This window comes from Homo sapiens, chromosome 16, assembly GCF_000001405.40.
Source record: "Homo sapiens chromosome 16, GRCh38.p14 Primary Assembly".
In the NCBI taxonomy this organism is placed as follows: Eukaryota; Metazoa; Chordata; class Mammalia; order Primates; family Hominidae; genus Homo; species Homo sapiens.
Window position 1 is genome coordinate 47,616,977 of NC_000016.10, and position 25,155 is coordinate 47,642,131.

The window sequence follows — 25,155 nt, forward strand, 5'->3', positions numbered from 1 at the left end:
ACACCTTAAGTAGTTTTCTGCCCTGGGTGGGCCAGGTGTTCCTTGCCCTCATTCTGGTAAACCAACAACCTTCCAGTGTGGGCGTCAAGGCCATCATGAGCATGTCACAGTCCTGCAGAGATTTTGTTTATGTCCAGTTTTGGGGCCAGTTTATGGCCAGATTTGGGGGCCTATTCCCAAGAATATATAATGTATAAATATACATTATATATAAGTATATACTAAGTAATATAAATATATTTATATAATATAATGTATATAAAATATATAATATTTATATATAATATAAATTTTTTTATATATTTACATATAAAACGATATATATCATTTCAGTCATTCATAAGTGTACAAGTCAGTGGCAATAAGTACATTTACAATGTATCATTGTAGCTATTGCCTCTATGTATATGAAAACCTTTTTTATCATCCTCAACAAAACTTCTGTACCCATTAAGCAGTGACCCTCTTTCTTTCCTCCCTCCAGCCCCTGGTAATCTCTATTCTACTTTTTGTGTGTATGAATTTGCCTATTCTAGTTACCTCATATAAGTGGAATCATGCCATATTTGTCTTTCTGCGTGTGGCTTATTTCATTAAGCATAATTTCCATACTAATGTTTGTGTGTTTCATTAATATGGTGTTTTTCTTTCCTCCCACTGGTTATTTTGTCACATACCTGGTATTTCTCATCATTCAATCATATATTAGTGTGATAAGTGGGCTGATTATTCTCAGTGTATTAAGTAGTAGTCTGCTACTCCCACCATCCCATCCAGAGGTGACGGAAATGTGATGGGAGTTTTGTCTCCTGGCTAACCTTATTGATGAGTCAGGGATCTGGTTGGGAACAAAGAAGACTCTTATCACCCTTGCCAAATGCCAGAACATGAAAGGCTTTAAGAATCTGTTGTTTGCAGTGGAAGCCTTAACTCATCCCAGCCAGCTTGTTCTATATATTTGGAGAAAAGCCCTGCTTTATTGCTGACCGTGATTCCCTGTGTGGTACATGGGGCTGGCCACTGTGGCCTTTAATCAGTCCTTCTATTCACTTCCGCTTCTCCCACCTTTACTCCATTGTGCTTGCAAATCCAGTGCCCCTCTGGGGCCCTTCTAGTTGGTGAGTCAGCTCCCATACCTGCTGCAGCACTTTGGTGATACTCTAAGTGGTATCGTTTGTTTTATGCAAGTTTTCTCTGCTCTGCTTTATTCGTTAATGCATTTTTATTTGCCATCTTTTACACTAGAAATGTATTTAAATACCTTGTTGTCTCATGACCTTCTTTCTTTTTTTCATTGCTCTGGCTTAGTCTTTTTTGTTTATTTTAAATCTGTAACTGGTCTTTTCTCTGGGGTCTGAAGAGAGATGAGAACTGAGAGCATATGTGCACTCTGCTCTCTGGAACTAGGAGCCCAGGCCTCACCTGCTGTGCTTGAGTCTTTCCTCGTTATTTCTGTTGAGTGTCTTTTTCTCCTTCTATACTCAATGTTTCTTCAGATCTTAGGGAATAAACTGAACACTGTGATATATATGAATAGAGTAGATATTTACTAAATAATTATGATGTCCCCAAATAGATACAAACCAAGTAAATTAAACACCAGACTTATTTATGTTGTCTGAGAAAGTCATATTTGAAAGAAAATTTACCCCAAACTGTTCGTTGGACCATCCTTTATTCTTATAAACAGGTGTTTATTCTTATAAACTTTATTCTTAGAAAAACAGTGTCTGCTTTTCTACCCCCACTTTTCTATGTCACATTTGATTTGGGGAAAATAAATTATACAAAATACCATATTATCCCATCCTATAAATTACTCCCGGAAAACAAGTCATGTGTTTAGAAGCTGTGCCATTAAGACTGATTTCTTTTGCATACTTTGTGTTACAACACTTGTCACTATTGCAGTTGTTGGTTTACATGCCTGACTTCCTCAAAGAGGTCCTGAGAGTAGAGAATGTGTCTTACTCTTGCCTTCTCTTAGCCTAGTTTGGTATTTGACAGGACCAGAGAATAGAAGTGATAGATACAATGATAACTACTATTGATTGTGTTTCTTTTGTTTATAGGCACTGTACATGCCACTTCTACCCACATTATATCTGATTTTAACATTTTTTTCTGAGACAAATATTATATCCATTTTACAGGTAGACAACGTGAGTCTCAGAGAGGTTTAGTAATCTCTCCAAGGTCCCACAGTTGTCAAGTGACAGAACCAATATGAAGGCGTTAACTGAAGAATGAAAGGAAGGAGGGAATGTCAAGCATTTGGAAGCAGTGATTTTTGTAATGGTGTGAAGGAGTTAACAGGAGAAATAGCTTGTTCTTGAACAGCCTGGCTGAATATCACATCATAGGAACACAGTTGCACCGGTGCCTTAGGATGCTGAGAGTTCTGTGAAAGTGATCTGAAAAATTAAACACAAAGATGCCCCATCAGTACAAAATGTATGCTGGGATTCATTATATCATCATGTTAATTATTTCCTTCTTTCTTCTTCCCTGTTATGCTAGGATGAAACCAAGTCCACAAATCTATAACAGTAATTTTAGTAGGGATTTTCTTCTTCCTTATCCAAAGGAAAACGCTTTCAGGAGGTGTTTACTCCCTCTCCCCATTCACCCTAACTTGTTCCTGTTAAAGGGCCCATCATCTTCTGTTGCCTAGGTAATTCTAGTGCCCACTGATTATCTACGAATGATACCTTCGTTGTTCATACTGCAGCGCCTCTGCCATGCTAATGTGAGATAATGGTTTCTTGAAGAGTGTTTGTTTCCAGCCTTTGCAGCTCATTCAAACTTGGGAGAGCTCTGGTTGCAGCAGAAACTGCAAGCAGCTGGCCATATGCATTTTATTGATTTATTGTATTTTGCGTTACAGTTGTCCACTAGGTATAAGGTGACCCTTAGAGAACATCTATTTATAGTAACTAGGGGTTGGGTTTCTGGAGTTCTATAGCAAATGGACTTATTTTTACATGTGTATTATACTAATTAGAATACAGAAGATTCCTGGTTAAATAGGAAAATACACCTAATACCTTTTTAAATGTTTTTGGAATATTGTCTGAAACTATTATATTTAACAGGCAATAGCCAGCCAGGAATTGCTTTTTTCTCCCTTCATTTTGTTTTTAAACCAATTTAAGAAAAATTGATGTTTTTTCTCAAAATAGATGTTGTTGGATGCAGCAGAATTTTTACATAAATAAGCCATTCTAGTGTCAAAGGAAGAATTATAGAAAAAAATATTCTGATATGAAAATGCTATTTCAATATTCAAGAGTACAAATAGGAAAGGTTTCATATTGTTGGATGTTCTGCCTAGCAAAATGGTTAAGAACACAGGAGGCACACTGCATGCTTCTGAATCCAACCTTGGGCTTAGCAGTTGTTGTTACTTGTATTTTGATAGTTCCAATGCAGACATGACAATTAATTGAGGTGCCCAGTAGTTAATATAAATAAAAGATGCAAGATTGTATTCTATTGAACATGGTTCATGGTGGAAATTAACCTATGGGAGCAGACAATTCTTGGAAGGCCAGGCTCCAGGCTTCATTCTTTCCCACAGTATAGGTAATGCAGATGCTGGAGTAAAGAGATGTTCTGGCCGGGCATGGTGGCTCACGCCTGTAATCCCAGCACTTGGGGAGGCCGAGGCAAGTGGATCACGAGGTCAGGAGTTCAAGACCAGCCTGGCCAACATGGTGAAACCCCGTCTCTACTAAAAATACAAAAATTAGCCAGGTGTGGTGGCGTGTACTTGTAGTCCCAGCTACTCGGGAGGCTGAAGCAGGAGAATTGCTTGAACCTAGGAGGCAGAGGTTGCAGTGAGCCAAGATTGTGCCACTGCAGTTCAGCCTGGGCAACAGAGTGAGACTCTGTCTCAAAAAAATAAAAAATATAAAAAAAAAGAGATGTTCTAGGAAGGGCAGGACAGTATAATCTAGCAAGAAGTTTAAAATGGTATAAAGTGTAAAGAATTTTGATTTCTTGGTTCAGGAAGGCTGACTACCTCATTGGCTGGGAGGAGCAGCAAAGCACTGGCAGAAATTCAGGTACTAGTTCTTTAGACCTTGTGTGATTCACTGCAGTATAATCTGGGGAAGGACTCCTAGCATCTCTGGAGTGTAGTTCTCTAATCTGTAAAATTATTTGGCTGGGTTTAATTCGTAAATCCCCTTCCAGCGCTTCTGTTGCTGGCTTCCATAATCTAGGTTATTGGTAACCTTTAAGTGACTTTAGTGGAGTAGTGTGCCCAGTCGCCAGACTGTAGGGAGTTAAAAAGGAATTATATGGTGGAAGACCATCTGCTCAGGAAGTTGAGTTTACTGCAATCCAAGAAAGGTTATAAACCCCTCCTAATTTGGTAGATACATTATATAGCACTCCTACAATATGGACTTGTAGCGATTTCCCTTTTTAAAGTTTTGTTCTAAATCTATTCAGTTTTTAAAGATTTATTAGTCTTTAAAAAGATTTAAGGATATTTAAGGTGATTTAAGGAAATCATGCATGTGGCTCAGTTTTATCTGGCTCAGTGTGTTCTAATGCTCTCAAATAGTTTAACCAGTTTGAGACATAATTTCTACTTAAAAGATTAAAAAATAACAACAACAACTTCACTAGCTTGGCAAAGAAATAAAGCGTTTGTGTGGGACCAAAAACCCAAGCATGGGAGTGAATTTGAGTACTGAATAGAAGTTCTTATGATTATCTTAGTAAAACAGAATAAAATAGTCAAGGCATCAAAGATGCTTCTGAGAGAGCCTAGCCTGAATATGCCACAGCCGCACAGAGTTTCTCCTCAGGTAATTCTGTCTGCTGTCTTGAAGGGTAATGAAGAGTCTCTTATCAATTGGTATTTATACCTGAGCCAATTAAAATTCAATGCCTTGATAAAAAAAATCCAGAACTGAGAAAAGTTGAATTGGAAGTCAAAAAAATGAGCTTAAACACATTTAATAACATCATTCTAATTAACCCATTTAACCTATTAAAATTAAAAGTTTCAATAATAGGCATGATGTATAATGAAATATTTCATCTACAGGATGGAAACTTCTTATACTCATGGCTAAAATGTAAAAGAAGGAAAAATAGAAGTAAGAAAGCAAGATTTATGGTCCAGAATAAAGATATACAAGGATTATTATGATCTAGTATTGTTTTAATGAATCTATATTTCTGACATTTTTCTCTAAGGAAAGAAATCTCAGTTATTCATAAATATGAATAAATTTGTGAACTTAACCTGAAATTTACCTACTTCACGTTTTTTCCTGTTTTGAATCTATTCACATTTTTAAAGGTCTAGTGATCTTTGAAGAAAACCTATCAATTAACGCCTTCTAGCTCCACCTTGTTTAATAATCTATATCCTGACAAGTTGCCCCCTTCTAAAACAAAGGATTGGGCTTTGGGAGTGTCTACTTTCTTGAGGAATGATTTTTCTCTCATGAGGTCCTTGGAGAGTTCCATGTATTTTTGCTGTCATGCAGGTGAATAAAATACAAGTATTTTTGGTCAGCTACTTGAGGCAATATTTTACTTTAATGGCAGAATTATTATGATAGAGCAGATCATGTGTATTGACACACCCTTGAGAGAATTCAGTTTCGCATTCAGTGACACCCAAGCTTTGAATCTGTGAAGTAGACTAGCCCATTTAATATGCCAATTAAAATGGATTGATCTACTTTGACAGTCTTTGGAGAAAAGGCCAATATGAAAGGAATGCTTTTTAGTCATAAGAGCTTATTTTCTGTGCTGCAAGTTTCCAAATTGAGGATGAAAGTCAGTACTTGTTTGCTAAATCATGTACATATTTATATAGATCTCAGCTAAAAACATATAGTACACTTGGTCTCTCATTTTTCAAATTAATGAGGAAGTGGGAGTTTCATGCTTTCTCCTCTAAATATACAAATGCATAGAATTTTGCATGAATTACTTTCTTAAAGATCAATGAACACTGCATATATGTGTAATAAATTTTTGTTTTTAAGGAAGTAATATAGTATAGTGGCTTTGCATCTCATACAGGCCTAGCTATAAAACCTGTCTCTTCCACTTATTAAATGTGTGACCTTGGACAATTGAATTAATCTCTCTAAGCCCCACTTTTGTCATATTTTAAATGGGAATAATGATCCCTAACTCAGGGTTGTGTTTATGATTAAATGATAGTTTATGTAAACCTCTTAACCAAATGTCTGACACATTATGCAAGCTAAATAAATATTATTGCTGTTTTTTATTTCAATAATTTATTATATAAGTAATATTTCTTTCTCATTAAAGAGATGAGAAAAAATCCTAAAAAGTCTAGAGGAAAACATTATATTTTCAACATTTCGGATATATTTTTTAGTCTGTATTCAACTTAGAAAGAAATTGAATGTTTAGCATTTAACCTGTTAGATTTCTTTTATCCCTTTGTGTGATTAAGACTATCACTGTATAGACAGAAGCCATTGTTTTAATGGCTTTTGAACTTGGTTTTTTTTTTTTTGGTTCCATTTTTTAATGGAGCTAATTTTTTAATTAGCTCCATATATTGACAGTTTTGATTTTTTTTTTTTTTTTTTTTTCTTGAGACGGAGTCTTGCTCTTGTTGCCCAGGCTGGAGTGCAATGGCTCACTGGAATCTCTGCCTCCCGGGTTCATGTGATTCTCCTGCCTCAGCTTCCTGAGTAGCTGGGATTACAGGGACCTGCCATCATGCCTGGTTAATTTGTTTTTGTATTTTTAATAGAGATGGAGTTTCACCAGGTTGACCAGGTTGGTCTCGAACTCCTGATCTCAAGTGATCCACCCGCCTCAGCCTTCCAAAGTACTGGGATTACAGGCGTGAGCCACCTCGCCCAGCCTGACAGTTTTGATTTGTTATAGATAAACCTTAATTGCTTATTTCTTCTTCTCAGATTACATTATTCTGTTGTGTCCTATACTTCTTAAGAATGGTATTGAATTAGAAATATCAGAATATAATGCCTAAGAAACCTGCCTTTTGAAAATGTTTTGTAGAAGCTCAATGAAGGCTACATATTCATATAATTCCTATAATTTTTGTATATTTTCATGAATAATTTTCATAAACTTTACGAATCTCCATGAGTTTTGAGCAAATATTTATATTTTAATGTTCTCCTCATTTATTTCTGTGAGCATCTTTATTGTTTCCCCAACCTTATTTAAAAACATCTTTTATGGGATCCTGTGGTTTATAGAACCAACTGGTTTATGAAGATGAATTGAAAGGGACACTGTAACATGGTCAGGTATCTGGACACTAATTATGGCTCCTAATCATATCATTAATCAGAAGAAACTATAAATTCAGCCCAAGAAGATGAATTTAATATGGCAAAGAAGAATGAATAACCCTATGTAGCAGAACATGAGCCCTTCCTTGTACTTAAGTCAAAATTGTGCAAAGTGGGAGATGGAGCTTTAATTTCTCAGAAGGGTTTATAAAAGTAAAATTAAAACTAGACTAATGGGTTCTAGTACATGCCAAGATCATTGCTTCTAATTACAATTGGAACTCTTCCTCTGAATCCCAGAAGACTAAGAAAAACCTCTATCCCCAGGCATTAACTCACCCAGCTTTTTTCCCTCTACCTTTGGCTGTTCCAATTGATATTCAGTCTTTCCTCTATATTTTGTACCTTTCTCTCTACTTACTTCTTTCCCTGACTGTATTTAAGTGCTCCGCAGCTATTCACCTCTCTCAAGGGCCTGTCTTACTTCCCTTCTTTCCTTCCCTTTCAGACAGCTTAGAAAAATGCTTGCACCATCTTCATGTCCTCAGTTCTCAGTCACTCCTTGTAATGCACAGTCTGGCTTCTTACACTGTCACTCTACAAAAACCACATGCAACAAGTTATTAATCTCCTCCTAATTTGATAACTCCAATGATCTCTTTTCAGATGCCAGTCTATTTGACTTCAAAGACATTCAACACAATTGAACACTCCTTCCTCCTTTAAACCCTGTAAAAGCATAGAATTAATCTTTGATTCCTGTCTGCCTGCCTCACCTCTTCTCTTCTAAATCCAGTCCTATCAGAATTCTGTTTTCTAAATAGTCCCCAAATATTTTCACTAGTTCCCTCTTCCCGCCTCTTCACTTCACTATAGTCCAGGTCACCATTATCTCTCAACTGCAGGCTCCAACTAATCTCCATATGTCTACTCTGCCCCGTGCAAGTCATCTCTATATGGCAGCAAGAGAGCCACCATCATGTGAGTTAATATGTATGTAAAGTGTTTAGGCAGGGCCTGGCCCATATAAGTACCATATATGTGTTTATTACTATTGTTGTAGAAATGTAGATTATATTGAGTCTTTTCCTTGTTTGAAACCCTTTTAAGTAGCTTTTCATTCCACTTAGATGAAAGCCAAATGCCTTGTTGCCTGTAGGGCCCTGTGGGGCCTTAGCTGTCTCCACCCTTATCTCTTGTCACTCTTTTGCTTGCCTGTTATGCTCCAGACACACTGGTCTCCTCTTAGTTTCTCCAGCACTTCAGGGTCTCTCCTCCTCAGGGCCTTTGCACACTCTTCCTTCTGCCTGAAGTGCCTGTTACCAGACCTTAGCACACTCCTTTTAGTCTCTAAGTCTCAGATTTAATGACACCCTCTAAGAGTTACTTTCTGACCATCAATCTAAAGTAGCCTCTGTCTTCAGTTACTCTAATATATTACCCTTTACTTTTATTATGTTTATTTATATAAATTTAATCATCTTTCTCACTGAAATGTAAGTTTAATTAGAGGACTTTATTGTCTTAATGACACATAGTAAAATCACTATTAATTGAATCAATTCATTAATGGCAAGTTTTTATCTTCGAGAACAGCTCAGATACCTTTTCTATAAAGTCCTTGTCAATTCCCTGAGGCTAAGTTGGATGCTCCCTGTCTTGCCCTCAAAGTACCCATTAAGAGCATCGTATTTAATATCCTACTGAAGTCCTTACGTAGTTGTCTTCTCTCTTATATGGTGAGTTCATAAAGAATAGAGAAAATGTTTCATTCATCTTTCTGCCATCCTAGTGCTTACTAAGTCTGGATGCATGAAAAACTCAGCAAACTCTCAAGGGTTCCTCACTAGCAGAAACCTTTCTAGTGTATAAAACTGTTAAATTCTCTCATTGATATAGAAAACCCTTAGGTTTACTTGCAAAGAGTGATGGTGGAGTATCTCCTCTGCAGTTGGGTCCCCTGTGTGAATCCGCACTAGAAACAGTTTGGCCTCAACTCAGTGAAGATGGCTCTGTGGTGCTAAAGGCTTGTTGGATTCTAGAGCCTGCTGGGTGCCTCTGTAGTTGTTGGGTTTGACCCAGTGATGATAAATCTTGCCTCAAGTTGGCCCTTGCATTATCTTTCCAGCCCAGTCTTTTTGTCATTTAGATGAGCATCAAGTGCCAAAGAAGAAAGTAGAGCAGGTTTTCATGCCCTTCCCCTCCAAGGCCTCTCTTCTTAGGTGGCTTTCACACTGTAATAACTGCACATATGGCCTTTGCATTCATTTCCACTCCTAAGTGGAATGCTGCACTTGGCAATTCTCTAGTGAACTGAAAAGTTTATGGTACAGCCAGTAAGATGCAGCAGTCTGACTTAGCGAAGAGAACTCTAGAACAAGTCAGTCCAGAAACAGAGATTCTGCTTCTGGGACTGCCACTAACTTGTAAAGGGACCTGGGCTATTTCCCCTCTCTGGGCCTCAGTCTTCTCATCCATCAAGTGGATTATGATTTTATCAAGGAAAGCCAATTTTCAGACAAAATCTTAAGTAGAATTTCAGCATATAAAATAGTTGTGCTGCTCTGGCTGAAATGGAGTCCTGCCACTAGTCTCTCTCGTAGACCCCTCCTACAGCCAAATGATAGAAATGGCCCCCTCCCATCTCTGACATTTTCAACTCAAATCCCAGGGAACAGATCCCGTTGGTACAAGCATCCGAAGGAGAAAAATTAAAAACACATCGGTTTACTGGACTTGCTTCTTTTTCTCCCATGATTCTAAAACCTGGTTTCTTATGGTTTACCACTAGGGACCTTTCTTTGCTTGTAACCCACCACCTGAGGTGTTTCTAAATGACCAAAAAACCTGAGAGTTAAATGACTGGATTCTTGGAATCTGTTCTCCCCTTTCTGCCTCTTCCTGCTCTGTTTCACCCTCATCTTACTTATCTTTCCTGATGTTGATCTTTCCTGTTGTGTTTCTATGGCGTTCTCGTCATTTGTTCTTCCCCTTTGTCATGATTAAAGCTATGAGAACACCGTAGGTCAGAGTTTCTCCACCTGGGTTCATGTGGCCATTTTGGCATTGTTTCTATGCAGTATGCAAGACTGTTAGCACTGTCATTTCCTTAAGATAAAAATATAGAAACACCAGTTACAGCAAGTACTTAGAAAGGGGTGAAACAGTTTTACAAATTACAAATCAATTCATTGTGACAAAGCGTTCGGTATTCTCTTCCACTATAATCGCAGTCATTGAAAGAACTGCTGTCAAAAAGCATTGCCTGATTTATTCATTTGGGCATTTGAAACAATGTGTTTGAGGTCTGGGAATACTTTTAAAAATTCATTTGTTTTCCTCTTAAATAGAAAGCTTATATAATCACTAATCCAATATATAAATACACAGAGCCTAAAGGACCATTTTCTCCCAGGCCAAGTTGACTCTTGAGCCAAGTTTAGCTTTTTAACCATGCTTGATATTGTTATTCCTCTGATATTTCTACTTAACTTTCCTCTGCTTTCCTATTAATTTTCACATGTTGCTGCTTTGGCTTGGTTGGAAATGTCAGAACAAGATGCCAGTGTGTCTCAGTCAGGACATGGCTGTGTTCAAACTACTGTAGCCTGTTACTTGGCTTCTATGGGAAAAATACTGGGGGTGCAGTGTTTCCAGTTGGAATTGAGATGTATAAAGCATCTGCCTGATTTCTTCAGCTAATGAGGTTTTGCTGAAAAATGAGTGTAATGAAAAAATGCTGGATGTTGGCAGGACCTACTGATGAAGTCTAATGAGCATAAATGAGTGTTCTGTAAGGCCCCCAAAGCAGAGGCATAGAATGTTTCAAATACACTGCCCTTGAGCAAGACCAGCCTGGAGGATGCATTTATTTGTTGGCTCCTTTTTCTTTCCTTCTCTCCCTCCTCCCTTGCCTTTCTTTCAATAAAAGACCTATGTAAGCCAGACACAGTAGATTATTTTATGCAATATAGGGCATATTAAAAATAAAACTACTGGCCGGGCGCGGTGGCTCATGCCTGTAATCCCAGCACTTTGGGAGGCCGAGGCGGGTGGATCATGAGGTCAGGAGATCGAGACCATCCTGGCTAACACGGCAAAACCCCGTCTCTACTAAAAATACAAAAAATTAGCCAGGCGTGGTGGCAGGCACCTGCAGTCCCAGCTACTTGGGAGGCTGAGGCAGGAGAGTGGCGTGAACCCGGCAGGCAGAGCTTGCAATGAGCCTAGATCGCTCCACTGCGCTCCAGCCTGGGCGACAGGGCAAAACTCTGTCTCAAAAAAATAAATAAATAAAAATAAAACTACTTAGACTAGGGCTCAATACAATTGCAAAAATTAGAATTATGAGCTTTACATGCTATATGATTTAACAGAAAAGGCAGTCGTTTTTATATTTGCTTATCAAGAACTAAAGAATTTAAAGTTCACATGGAACCAAAAAAGAGCCCGCATCGCCAAGTCTATCCTAAGCCAAAAGAACAAAGCTGGAGGCATCACGCTACCTGACTTCAAACTATACTGCAAGGCTGCAGTAACCAAAACAGCATGGTACTGGTACCAAAACAGAGATATAGATCAATGGAACAGAACAGAGCCCTCAGAAATAATGCCGCATATCTACAACTATCTGATCTTTGACAAACCTGAGAAAAACAAGCAATGGGGAAAGGATTCCCTATTTAATAAATGGTGCTGGGAAAACTGGCTAGCCATATGTAGAAAGCTGAAACTGGATCCCTACCTTACACCTTATACAAAAATCAATTCAAGATGGATTAAAGACTTAAATGTTAGACCTAAAACCATAAAAACCCTAGAAGAAAACCTGGGCATTACCATTCAGGACATAGGCATGGGCAAGGACTGCATGTCTAAAACACCAAAAGCAATGGCAACAAAAGCCAAAATTGACAAATGGGATCTAATTAAACTAAAGAGCTTCTGCACAGCAAAAGAAACCACCATCAGAGTGAACAGGCAACCTACAAAATGGGAGAAAATTTTCACAACCTACTCATCTGACAAAGGGCTAATATCCAGAATCTACAATGAACTCAAACAAATTGACAAGAAAAAAACAAACAACCCCATCAAAAAGTGGGCGAAGGACATGAACAGACACTTCTCAAAAGAAGACATTTATGCAGCCAAAAAACACATGAAAAAATGGTCATCATCACTGGCCATCAGAGAAATGCAAATCAAAACCACAATGAGATACCATCTCACACCAGTTAGAATGGTGATCATTAAAAAGTCAGGAAACAACAGGTGCTGGAGAGGATGTGGAGAAATAGGAACACTTTTACACTGTTGGTGGGACTGTAAACTAGTTCAACCATTGTGGAAGTCAGTGTGGCGATTCCTCAGGGATCTAGAACTAGAAATACCATTTGACCCAGCCATCCCATTACTGGGTATATACCCAAAGGATTATAAATCATGCTGCTATAAAGTCATATGCACACGTATGTTTATTGCGGCATTATTCACAATAGCAAAGACTTGGAACCAACCCAGATGTCCAACAGTGACAGACTGGATTAAGAAAATGTGGCACATATACACCATGGAATACTATGCAGCCATAAAAAATGATGAGTTCATGTCCTTTGTAGGGACATGGATGAAATTGGAAATCATCATTCTCAGTAAACTATCGCAATAACAAAAAACCAAACACCGCATATTCTCACTCATAGATGGGAACTGAACAATGAGAACACATGGACACAGGAAGGGGAACATCACACTCTGGGGACTGTTGTGGGGTCGGGGGAGGAGGGGGGGATGGCAATGGGAGATATACCTAATGCTAGATGATGAGTTAGTGGGTGTAGCGCACCAGCAAGGCACATGTATACATATGTAACTAACCTGCACATTGTGCACATGTACCCTAAAACTTAAAGTATATAAAAAAAAAGAACTAAAGAATTATATTCTATCAAAAAGCAGATAAGGCCTGTAATCGTAGCACTTTGGGAGGCCGAGGTGGGCAGATCACCTGAGGTCAGGAGTTCAAGACCTGCCTGGCCAACATGGTGAAACCTTGTCTCTACTAAAAATACAAAAATTAGCCGGGCATGGTGGCACATGCCTGTAATCCCAGCTACTCGGGAGGCTGAGGCATGAGAATCACTTGAACCTGGGAGGCAGAGGTTGCAGTGAGCTGAGATTTCGCTGCTGCACTCCAGCCTGGGTGACAGAAGGGAAACTGTCGCAAAAAAAAAAAAGAAAAAGCAGATAAGAAAATAGGTTTGTAAACAATGCTTGGAATTGAGTTTTCTTAAAACCTGATCTCAGGTGTCTGAAGAAGAGACTGTTGGTGAGATTTGGCAGACTCTACTCCCCATGAATGTAGCATGTTCCTGCACCCATGTGATTGTTAATTTTACATGTCAACTTGTCTGGACCACAGGCTGCCCAGCTATTTGGTCAAACACTATTCTGAGTGTTTCTGTGACAGTGTTTCTGGATGAAATTAAAATTTAAATCAGTAGACTGAGTAAAGCTTATTTTCCTCCTTAATGGGAATGGGCCTCATCCAATCAGCTAAAAGTCTGAAAAGAACAAGGCTGACCCCCGCTGAGGAAGAGGAGGATTCTGCCTGTGAGACTGCCTTCCAGCTGGGACATGGGCTTTTTTCCTGTCTTTGGAGTTGAACTGAAACATCAGCTACTCCTGGGTCTGAGCCTGCCAGTCTTCAGACTGGAATGACACTGTCTGCCTTCCTGGGTTTAGGCCTTCGGACTCAGACTGAAACTAAACTGTCAGCTCTCCTGGGTCTCCAGCTTGCCAGCTCACCTGCATATCCTGAGACTTGCCTGCCTCCGTAATTGTGTGAGCCAATCCATATGATAAATCTCTTTCTTCTTCTTCCTTCCTCTCTCTCTTTCCTGTTTCTCTAGAGATCTCTGCCTGCTATAGCAAGCAGCACATAATCTGTGAAATACGTACTGTGACATGTGCCATATTGATTTCAGACCTGGACATACGTGCAGTCAGGTTAAACTCTATCACTGACTAGATGTGTAACCTTTGACAAATTATTAAACCGCTCGTCACCTCAGTTTCCTCATCTTTAAAATGGGAGTTCTTGTGAGAATACTCAAAAAAGCTCTTGAATAACACGTGGCACATAGCAAGCTGTCAAGATGTATTAATTCCTTAACATTCCAAACCAGACTACAAAACAAATGTAAGCAAGAACATAATGAGATAACTCTTTTTTTATTGTACTTTAAGTTCTGGGGTACATGTGCAGAATATGCAGGTTTGTTACATTGGTATGCATGTGCCATGGTGGTTTGCTGCACCTATCAACCCGTCATCTACATTAGGTATTTCTCCCAATGCTGTCCCCCCGCTAGCCTCCCACCCTCCGACAGGCCCCAGTGTGTGATGTTCCCCTCTCTGTGTCCATTTGTTCTCATTGTTCAACTCCCGCTTATGAATGAAAACATGCAGTGTTTGGTTTTCTGTTCTTCTGTTAGTTTGCTGAGAATGATGGTTTCCAGCTTTATCCATGTCCCTGCAAGGGACATGAACTCATCCTTTTTTGTGGCTGTATGGTATTCCGTGGTGTATATGTGCCACATTTTCTTTATCCAGTCCATCATTGATGGGCATTTGGGTTGGTTGCTATTGTGAACAGTGCCACAATTAGTTCAACCATTGAGGAAGTCAGTGTGGCTATTCCTCAAGGATCTAGAGTCAGCAACACCATTTGACCCAGCAATCCCATGAGATAACTCTTATCAACAAGCTGTCGTGTATTTCCATATGTTGTAAATGGATGTCTATGCTTCTTTCTGTGTCACCCTCCTAGAAAAGACTCAGACACTTCTCACTGCCCCCTCCCCAAACCCAAACCTACTGATCTTTTCTTATAATAGTCCTCCAGTTACCCACATAATCCAGTGGTAGCAATGCCTCTGAATGATTTAGTTTGAGTGCTTAGTCTACTTTTATAAGCAGAATTAAAACCTGATGTTTAATGGTGCCACTGTGTAACCATAACCATTTCCAGAGATTTCAGTGTAAAAGGTTGACTAGCCTTAATTGATTATCAAAAGGTGTAAAGATGACATTAGTACATATGGTACATCTACAAAATGGAATACCAAGCAGTTAGAGTGAAAATGAGGACGTGTTCTATGTGTTAATATATGAAAAGAGTTCCATGATATACAATTATTAACTAGAAAAAGGTGCTGAGAGTAACTTTTGTGTAGAAATGTAAGAAAATAATATATATTTGCATTTGCTGTTGTAGGCATGAGGAAATGCTAGAGCAAGGCATAAATAATCATAGCAGTGATTGGTTGTTAGATGGAGGGGAACTGTGGGGATGAAGGCCCCAAATGGGAATGACATGTCACCAAAAACTTTTTCATAATTGTTAAATTTTTGAGCCTTATGAATGAATTATCTGTTGAAAAAATTAAATTAGAAAAAAAGAGCAAGGAAAAGAAACACTATTAGGGCACATTCACATTAAGTTTTCTCTGTGTGCCCTTTGAAAGTTGTATTACACTGTTTTATTTATAGCCCCCAGCTGCAAATATCCTGGCTTTACTACTTTGACCTGATTTGAGTAATTTAAAAACTAGAATCTAGACAGATAGACATGCAGTGTCTTAATTACCGTAGTTTTAAATTTTTAGCATGATGAGTTGCAATATTAATATAGTTAGTGCCCAGCTTATAGAGAAGTTATGCTATAAAAGTTCCTCTTCCACCGTACACTTAAAAATGGTTAAGATGTTAAATTTAGGTTATGTGGGGTTTTCTTTACAATGAAAAAATCTTAGAAAAATACAATCTGACTTTATAGAAATGAAAATTTTGAATGAGAATATTTCTAACTACAGGGTTTTGGTCCTAAACCATATTGTTACTCTGACATGTACACTCTTTTATAGTGTATATAAATGTGTACATTTTACTGATTATTTTCTTTTGTTAAAAGTATCCTTGTTTATATTTGCAAACATTTGTTGGGTATGCTCAAGGGAAGATTTGTGTATTGCTAATAAATGTAACCAGCAATACTAAAAAAAAAAGTTCCTCCTCCAAACCGTCAAATGAATAACAATTGCTTTTCTTTTAGTGCAAGGTGGTTCCTACATCCTAAGTGAGAAAAGTAAGCATGAGGGGCCCCTGTAGTTTCACAGACCACTCATACACATTCTAAAAGCTAAATAACCCTTCCAAAGGCATGGCATGAGGTGATCCAAGACTCGTGCCAAGTGTCTCATACAGGCAGTGCCAGCTATTCCTAGTAGGGACAAAAGATATTTGGATACCCTGGTGTTTGGGGGAGTTTGGGAGGAGACTAGGTTAAAAGAGCGAGTCAGGATCTGGATAGATAAAGGAATGGAGAGAGCAGTCCAAACGTAAAGGGACAGTGGACAGAAACATAAGATGGACATGAGTGAACTGTTTTTTAGTGGAGTACTCTAAAACAGATGGGAGACCAACAGGGAACAGCAGGTAGTCCCTGAGCTGTAAAAGTCCTCGAGAAGTTTGGGCTTTATTTGGGAAACATTAGTTTTGGGGTAGAGGTAATATCCTAAATATTGCATAACTATATCTGTTTACTAACTCTTCTCTGTCTCTTTTCTTCATGCATTCAAGAAATATTTTTTGACCACCTCCTTTGTGCAAATCATTGATACAAGAAAATGAACCTGACCATAAATCGCAGACAATGGGCAAAGGCAAGTGTGGAGCAGAAAGCTGAAGAAGCCTATTGCAGTGACCCAGGGTTGTGGTTGTGTTGCTGGCATTGATAGATGGCTAATTTTTTTTGGACACTTACTATAGGCCAGTGTTAAATGCTTATATATTATGTATTATTCTCATAACCCTAGGAAATAGTTATTTTTATTATTCTCAATTTATAGATGAGGAAACTGCAGCTTATTGAGGTTAAGTGACATAGTGAGTCACACAGCAAATAATAGTATAAATATCATTGTGTAACAGATCAAAGTTTGCAAATATTTTACATGCCCTCTTTTGTTTGATCCTCTCCTTTTGTGGTAGGCACTGTAAATATTTTTCCCATTTTACAGACAAGCAAAGAATTGAGAAACTTGCATGGGCAGTCATTCATCAAATAGTAAGGATGCCTACTATGTTCCATGTGTGGGGAGGTGGCAGTAGACCAGCTAGATCAAGTTCCCTGCCCTCAGGGAGGTACTTTCTGAAGGGAATGAATAACAATAAATGATATAATTTCTGTATCGGACAGGTACTATGAGGCAGACAAAATAAGGTAAAGTGGTAGACTGGGGTTGGAGATGCCTGAGGAGAACAACTTTGGCCATGGTGGAGAGAGGAGGCCTATGTGGCAGGGATGATGGTTGAGACCTGTATGACCAGAGAGCATTCATTCTGCAACCTGGAGGAGAAAACACACCAGACAGCTGTAACCAGTGCACTTGATGGGAATATAGTTGGTATGTTCAAGGGACAGAGAGGACCCAGGGTGGCTAAAACATGGTGAAGAAGAGAAGGGAGAATAAGAAAGCAGAGGCAAGCATGCCAGAGCTAGATCATGGAGGGCCTCTTGGGCCTGATAAGCAGTTTTGTTATCATTTTACAGGAAGTTACTGGAGAGTTTTAGGCAGGGTGTTCATAAGCATGTGCATGTGTGGGTGGGGTGGAGTAGTAGTGAGATGATCTGATTTACACTTTTTAATTACTGTTTTCAGGATGGACTGCTGTGAATGGGTGGGATGGGGTTTAAGACTGAGGTAAGTAGACCAGTTACTTAACCAAGTAAAAGATCATGGTTACTTTAAGTAGAGTAGTATTAGCAGTGGAGAAGGAGAGAAGTGGTGTGTTTGAGACATATTTTGGAGGTAGAGCCAATACGAGTTCTTCGTGAATTAGCAGCACGTCACAGAGGCATACAGTATACTATAATGGATAAGTAGATTGGATTGCGCATGTTTGAATCTCCATGTTGCCACTTAATAGCTTTATGTATTAGCTGTATGATGTTGGATAAGTTTTTTAACCACTCTTTGCCTCAGTTTTCTCATCAGTAGATGAGAATAATTATAGTAACCTACCTAATAGGGGTGTTTAAGAGTATATAATTTAATATAGCCACCTGATTCTCAATAAGTGTTCTCAGTTTTTGTCACTGTTTTGTTTTGGTTTTTTAGCTGTTTTTGGTTATGGGGTTTGAAGGAAAAAGGAATTTAGGATGACTTACACATTTTTTGGCCAGAGCAAATGAGCTCATAATATGGGGTCTTATAGAGATAAGGAATGCTTTGGGAGTCAGTAGATTTAAGGATGGAGATCAGGTCAGTTTTGTCCACAGTAATCTAAGGCACCTATCAGATGAGCAGGATCATTGCTGGAGGAAGTGACAAGATAGGACTTGTAGGTAGATCTTTCAATCTAAAGTCTGCCTGCTTTCTGCTCTTTGAGAGGCAGGATAAGTGAGTGACTATGAGCACAGAATCTGCAGTCAGACTGCCTGGGTCTGAATTCTAGCTCCGCTAGGTCTGTGTCCTTGGATAAATTGCTTAAACTTTCTGTGCCTCATTTTTAAACCTGTAAAATGGGATAATAGTTTGATAAAGCACTTAAGCAGTTCCTGGCATGTGGAGTATAGTTATATAAAGTGTTCGCTGTTGTTGCTACTTTTAAATCCTGAATATTGCTATAGAAATGCAAAGAAAACAACATTCAAGATACTGTGTGAAGGAAGGACTAACAGGATTCTGGTGACTAATTGCATATGGAGGTTATGTAAAAGGCATCAAAGATGATTCTGAGGTTCTGAGCTAGAGTGACCCATTAATTGAGGGTTAAAGGATAAGAACCTGTTTGGGATGGAGGTGGGGTTGATGATGAGGAGTTGAGTTTTCAATCTATTAACTTTGGAAATAGCCAAGAGAAAATGTCCAGAAAACAGTTTAAAATGTGGGAACTAGAACTTAAGAGAAAGGTCAAGACCAGAAATATAAACATGGAAGCATCTGCTTATAATAGCAGTGGCAACCTGTCTAGGGCAGCCACTGTGGGGACACCAGCTGCAGCAGGGGAAGTGTGGCCAGGGCTGCACACTTCATGGAGCCAGAGGGGGCCAGGAGGAGGCAGGAGCCCCACTCCCTACTGAGTTGGTGGGGCAGGGGCCCCATGCTCTCAGGTGCAGCTGCAGCTGCCCAGCCGCAGCTCCAGACCCAGGCATCACTGCACTCTTGGGGGCCTGGGAAGCCCCCGGTCCCCACAGGTTCAGAAGTGCCTGCTCCCATTCCCCACTCCCAGCACCTGCAGCAGTACGGAACAAAGTTGTGACTGAGCCTGGGTGCTGATGCAACACAGCTGGGTGTGCGCACGCTCAGGGCAGTGTTGACATGCCATCCCCCTGCTGCCTCAGCCCCCTCTGGGCTTTGAGCGCCGATGAGCACAGGAGGGAGGCCGGTGGGGCTAAGGGCAGCTTGTTGTGGGCCTGCAGGTATCCCTTGGCACAAACAGCCTGGGCACCATGGACAGCATGTTGATGATGGCAGGAGGAAAACAGGCTCCTGGGCGGGTCCCTGGTGAAACCCTGCCTTCAAACCAGGGATGACCTGAAGCCTGGGGGCCGGGCTGCCACCCCTGGGTGGAGTCTGCAGCCCAGAGTGAGAAACTGTGCTTTTTCCGGGCCCACCCATGGCCGCCCATGGACCGATCAGCATGCGCTTCCTCCCTTCTGAGCCCATAAAAACCACCAGACTCAGCCAGACTTGGACAGATGTAGGGACTACCAGCTGCAGGAAAGAGTTACCCACTTCAGGTCTTCAGGTCTCCTTGACTCATTGGGATGAGCTGCCTGCAGAAAGGAGCTCCCACTGCGGGTCTCCTCTCAGCTGAGAGCTGGACACTCATCGGAATGGCCTGCCTGCAAAAAGTAGCTACCCACTTTGGGTCTCCTGGGAGCTATTATGTCACTCAATAAAGCTCCTCTCCGCCTTGCTCACCCTCCAGTTGTCTGTGTACCTCACTCTTCTGGACATGGGACAAGAACTTGGGACTCACCAAATGGCAGGACTGAAAGAGCTGTAACACAAACAAGGCTGAAACACGCACCCCCCACCCAACACCTGGCTCACCCTCGGCAAGTGTGGGATCCAGGCTGGTAGTGCAAGCTGAGCACAGCCTACAGGCCAAGTGGGTGGAACGAGCCCAGTAGGTGTGGGCAATATTCAGGTAAAAGGCTCCACCAGCCACAGAGGTTTCTGGCTGGCAAAGCAACACCCCAAGGATCCCATGACACTTAGAGATAATAGCTTAAAGCTACTAGAGTGGATGAGATTTGAGAAAGAGAGAATGAATAGAATGAATATGTGACCATAGACTTGTGTTAGGATTATGTATCTCCAAAGACAGGGCAGGATAGATTGTAGAGGGCAGAAGTACAGAGGCAAGAAAGGTAAGGACATAGTTATAGTCTTATATTTGAGAAATGAAAGGAAAAAAATGGGTAGTAGCTAAGTGTCTTAGTTTGTTCAGGTTGCTATAACAAAATACCATAAACTGGGTGGCATATCAACATCAGAAATTTATTTCTCGCAGTTCTAAAAGCTGGGTGATCCAAGATCAAGGTGCTGGTAGATTGAGTGTCTGGTGTGGGCCTTCTCTCTGGTTCATAAATGGTGCCTTCTCCCTGTGTCCTCACATGATGGAAAGGGTGCAGGGCCTCTTTTATAAGGATACCAATCCTGCTCATGAGGGTTCCGCCCTCATGACCTAATTACCTCCCAAAGCACCCCTCCCCATTCCCCAGCCCCTTATCCCCTGCCAATACCATCACCTTGGGGGCTAAAATTTCAACCTGAATTTCAGGAGGAACATGCACATTCAGACCATAGCATTAAAGAAGGTGTTAAGTCACCTGAGGATGTCTTTAAAAAGATGTTCAGAATCATTTGGGGAAGAACTAGCCATATAAAAAAATAGGATGACAGATAATCCAAATGTCTTAGAATGGTGGAAGCCAATGGGATCTAGGGCAACATAGGCATTATAGCAAATCTAGACAAGGAAGAGGGGAGCCGCTGTCCAAGGATTGGTGTGAAGATAGCAATAAGCAAATGTGCAACTACAGCAAAAATTAACATCCTTTATTGAGTGTTTTTGTGTGAAATACTGTGCTTAGCACTTTGTTCTCTCCCTAAGTCTTCAGTAGTTCTCTGAGATAGGGACAATTATTATATTCTCTGCAGAAATGAAAAATTGGAAACCACTTAAATATCCATCAACATAAACATTTTAAAAATAAAGTATGGTATATCCACAGTATATCATGTCCTTCAGTCACTTTTTTTAAATGAGGTAGATCTGCCAAAGAAAGATACCAGTAAAATACTTTTACGTGATAATAAACACACATGTGAAAACTTATCTGTTATCCATCTCTCCTAGTAGACTGAACTCCTCAAGGAGGGACATTGTGTCATATTCGTATTCTAACATGGAGTCTTGTGGATTAGTGTCCACTTGATCAGATGAATGAGCAACAAATGCCTGTAAAATGGAGATTACTGGTACCACACAGGGCTTGAGTATGTGTATATACGTGTGTGTGTGTGTTTGTCTGTAACCTATAAGCAGAAATTATTACAATATTGTTAGGAAAAATGCCATTCAGAAAAGAAGGTATTAGTTACTATTAGGAAATTAACAGAGAGACTTAATGGGTTTTGGACAACAATGGTGGTGGTTTGCTGGATGCAGTGGCTCACACCTGTAATCTCAACACTTTGGGAGGCCAGTGTGGGCAGATCGCTTGAGCCCAGGAGTTCAAGACCAGTCTTGGCAACATGGTGAAACCTGTCTTTACAAAAAATATAAAAATTAGCCAGGTGTGGTGGTGTGCACCTGTAGTCCCAGCTACTTGGGAGGCTGAGGTGGGAGGATCACCTGAGCCCAGGATGTCTAGGCTGCAGTGAGCCGTGATCACTCCACCACTCCACTACACTCCAGCCTGGGCAATAGAGTGAAAACCTGTCTGAAACAAACAAACAAACAAACAAATCAATGGTGGTGGTTTGAAGAAAATGGTAAAAACAGAACAGATAGTTTCAACTTTGGCAGTGAAAGGAAGAGAGTTTTACGAGTGGGGCTGCCCGTGCTGAATTCTTTCTCTCAATGGTGAATGGGGCAAAAGGTCCCACTTGGGCTGGAGTTGTAAGTCCAAGCTCGTTGTGGTAGATGGTTTGTGAACCAGACTATTTGAAATGCTTAGTTTTTACAACAAAAGAGCTCTTCAGCCATCTGATAGTCCCCTAACTAGATGCTCAGTATGATTCAACATGTATAGAGGCCATTTTAGATCTGAGTACTCTGTCATACAAGTGGAAACAATATCCTAAACAGGCCTATGATTCAAAAAGAAGATTCCAGTTTGCCAATTACAATCTATAAACTGCCTTATTTATTGTTATTGAAATATCATCTGTATTCTGTATGTTTTCATTTGCTTTTTATTTAAGAATCCCACAACTGTCCTGAAGATTGTACATAATGGCCTATTCTAAGGTTACTCATCCTTTTAAAGCAGTAAATACTAGATCTCATCCAAGAGAAATAGGGCTTAATTTTTTCATTTGTTAGAAATCTTGATGAGGCTTTGAAAACAAGTTTTTTCTCACCCTTTTGGAAAACATTTAATTGTGAGGTCTTTATCAAGTAAAAACAGAATTTATAACATTTTAAATGGGTATTTGTTTTTGTTGGATTGTTAAATCACATTTTCTCTTACACATTCATTTAAATCACATGAAAGTCTGCGTGAAATGGCACTTTGACGATGATTCTGGGAACCATCCCTTTGATTGTATGGTATTTACTGCTGATATATGTATGCTGGTGTTTCTTGCCTTCCATCATACATAAATTTCAGTGTTATATTGAATACCATAGAGAGGAACTGATTGATGATAAATCAAATATTTTACAGCATATTATTGGGACTGTTGGATCCATTACTATAAAAGAGTTATGTTTGATCAGTATTTTCAGAGCTCCCTAATACTGTAATTTATTGGTGCTTCTTAATGTTCTCTGTTAATTATATACAGGTTTCAAAATTGGGTTCAATTTAACAATGTATAATACATGTTATAGCGAATCTTTATCACACAAAAAATGAGTAGCAAATATCCAACACTGTCTTTGATTAGAACTATTAAGTCCAACAGCTTGCATTTAATGAATATAATGTAATTACATAGTCAACTGGGTAGTTCATGCTCTATTATAAGAATTATATATTAGAATAAAGTTATTTTGATGTATAAGGTGCCAAAGGAAAACTGGTTAACAAGAAAGGGAATAACCTTATATGTGGTTAAGATGTCAAATGAACAATTTTAACTATCATTTTTTTTTTACAGAGAACACATAAATTGGGTTTTTATTTTTAGTTCCTCCTCTTCCCTTTAGAGTTAAATGATGGAAAATGACTCTCGGTCCCCAAACTGCTCTTATGCATCATTCAAAATAGCCCTGACAGGCTAGCCCCTGTGGTAGTGATGAGGTTTATGGCTTTCCATTCCTTTGTGTTCCATTACTCTGTCTATATCATCAAATTGATTAGTAGGCAGTGGCGAGCAAGGAAAGAAAGGTGGCCGCTGAGAGCCAGCTGGTGTCCATCATTTTAATGAACTGCTTAGAGATGGTTAATATTGTCCTTGTTTCTCATTGTAGCTGATGATGACCAGATCTTTTAAAATGTTTTCCCCCTCCCTTATTCTGCATTACAGGGCCCACTGGAAAATGACTTGGTAGTTCATGTGGCACTTATAGCAGAAAGCCAAAGGTATGAAATCCAAGTGGGTGGTGTGTTTTTTTGTGGGGAGGGGAGGGGAGGGGAAATGATTGCTTTATGTTTACAATATTGATTATGGTAGAAGAGATTAACTTCAGAAACTCCTTTACAGGCTTTCAAGGATATCATTAATATCACTTTAAATGACCAGCATATTCTTTTCGTGTTTAAAAATAATTTTGTTTTAGTTGAGGTGAATATTAAAGACTGACCAGTGCCAGTGTTGCCTGGGTTGTAGTTTCGAGAAATTCATGCAAACACATGGGGATTACCAAAATCAGTGCTTTCCCTCCCTGTCAGCCCCTAATGTTTCCATGTGATGCTTCATGGAGGATCCATATGGGCCTCTGAAATCTAGTGCAGATGGCAAATTGCTAATACTAACAAATTAATAATGCCCTCCAAGTTAACATGTTCCCTTTTATCCTCCTCCTTCACTGCTTCCTAAACTGTAAATGCATTGTCTTAAAACGTCTCTTTTTATCCCTATGATCTTTAGACTTCAAGTTTTTCTGAACACATATGGTATTCAAACTCAAACTCCTCAACAAGTAGAACCCATTCAGATATGGCCTCAGCAGGAGCTTGTGAAAGTAAGTGATTCTGCCTTTTACTTTCCTTACTTTGTAGAGGTACTAGAGCTTGATGGTTGGACTTAGTTTACAGACAAGTCACACAGTTAAAATCTGATTCTGATATAGGACCAGTAATCCAAAAGCTTCTAATTAAATTGAGAAGTCCACTTTAATGGACATTGTTACTAAAAAAAAAACTTTGCACTGTGTATATGTGTGTGTGCATGTGTGTGTACGTTATGTTTATAGGTCTTGTTGATTCCTACTTCTTTCTAAACTCTATTACTAACCTAGGCTGAGCAGTTAAATAACAAGTTAGTCTTAATTTTAATAGGAATAAAATTATTCTTATATTTTGATTTGATTTTTTTCCTCTTATCAAAATGTATTCTTACATTTTGATTTGGTTTTTTCATCCTTTTATCTTTGATTTTTTCGCCTTTGATTATCAAAAAAT

The 25,155-nt window shown here is 39.4% G+C and overlaps 1 protein-coding gene across 3 annotated transcripts in view, besides 1 other annotated feature; it reads left to right on the forward strand.

The window, feature by feature from the left end:
* PHKB (phosphorylase kinase regulatory subunit beta) overlaps positions 1–25,155 on the forward strand; it is a 240,225-nt gene that overhangs the window by 155,678 nt on the left and 59,392 nt on the right. For all 3 annotated transcript variants that reach the window (NM_001363837.1, NM_001031835.3, NM_000293.3), the window contains 2 exons: positions 24,059–24,114; positions 24,623–24,716. In NM_001363837.1, the coding sequence (NP_001350766.1) occupies positions 24,059–24,114; positions 24,623–24,716 (150 nt within the window). The remainder of the gene's footprint in view (positions 1–24,058; positions 24,115–24,622; positions 24,717–25,155) is intronic.
* Positions 9,164–9,665: an enhancer, noted in NCBI's record as "NANOG hESC enhancer chr16:47660051-47660552 (GRCh37/hg19 assembly coordinates)". NCBI's record gives its function as "activates a minimal SCP1, AML or CMV promoter by ChIP-STARR-seq in naive H9 embryonic stem cells {active_cell/tissue: H9 hESC(naive)}" and the evidence as "EXISTENCE:reporter gene assay evidence [ECO:0000049][PMID:30033119]".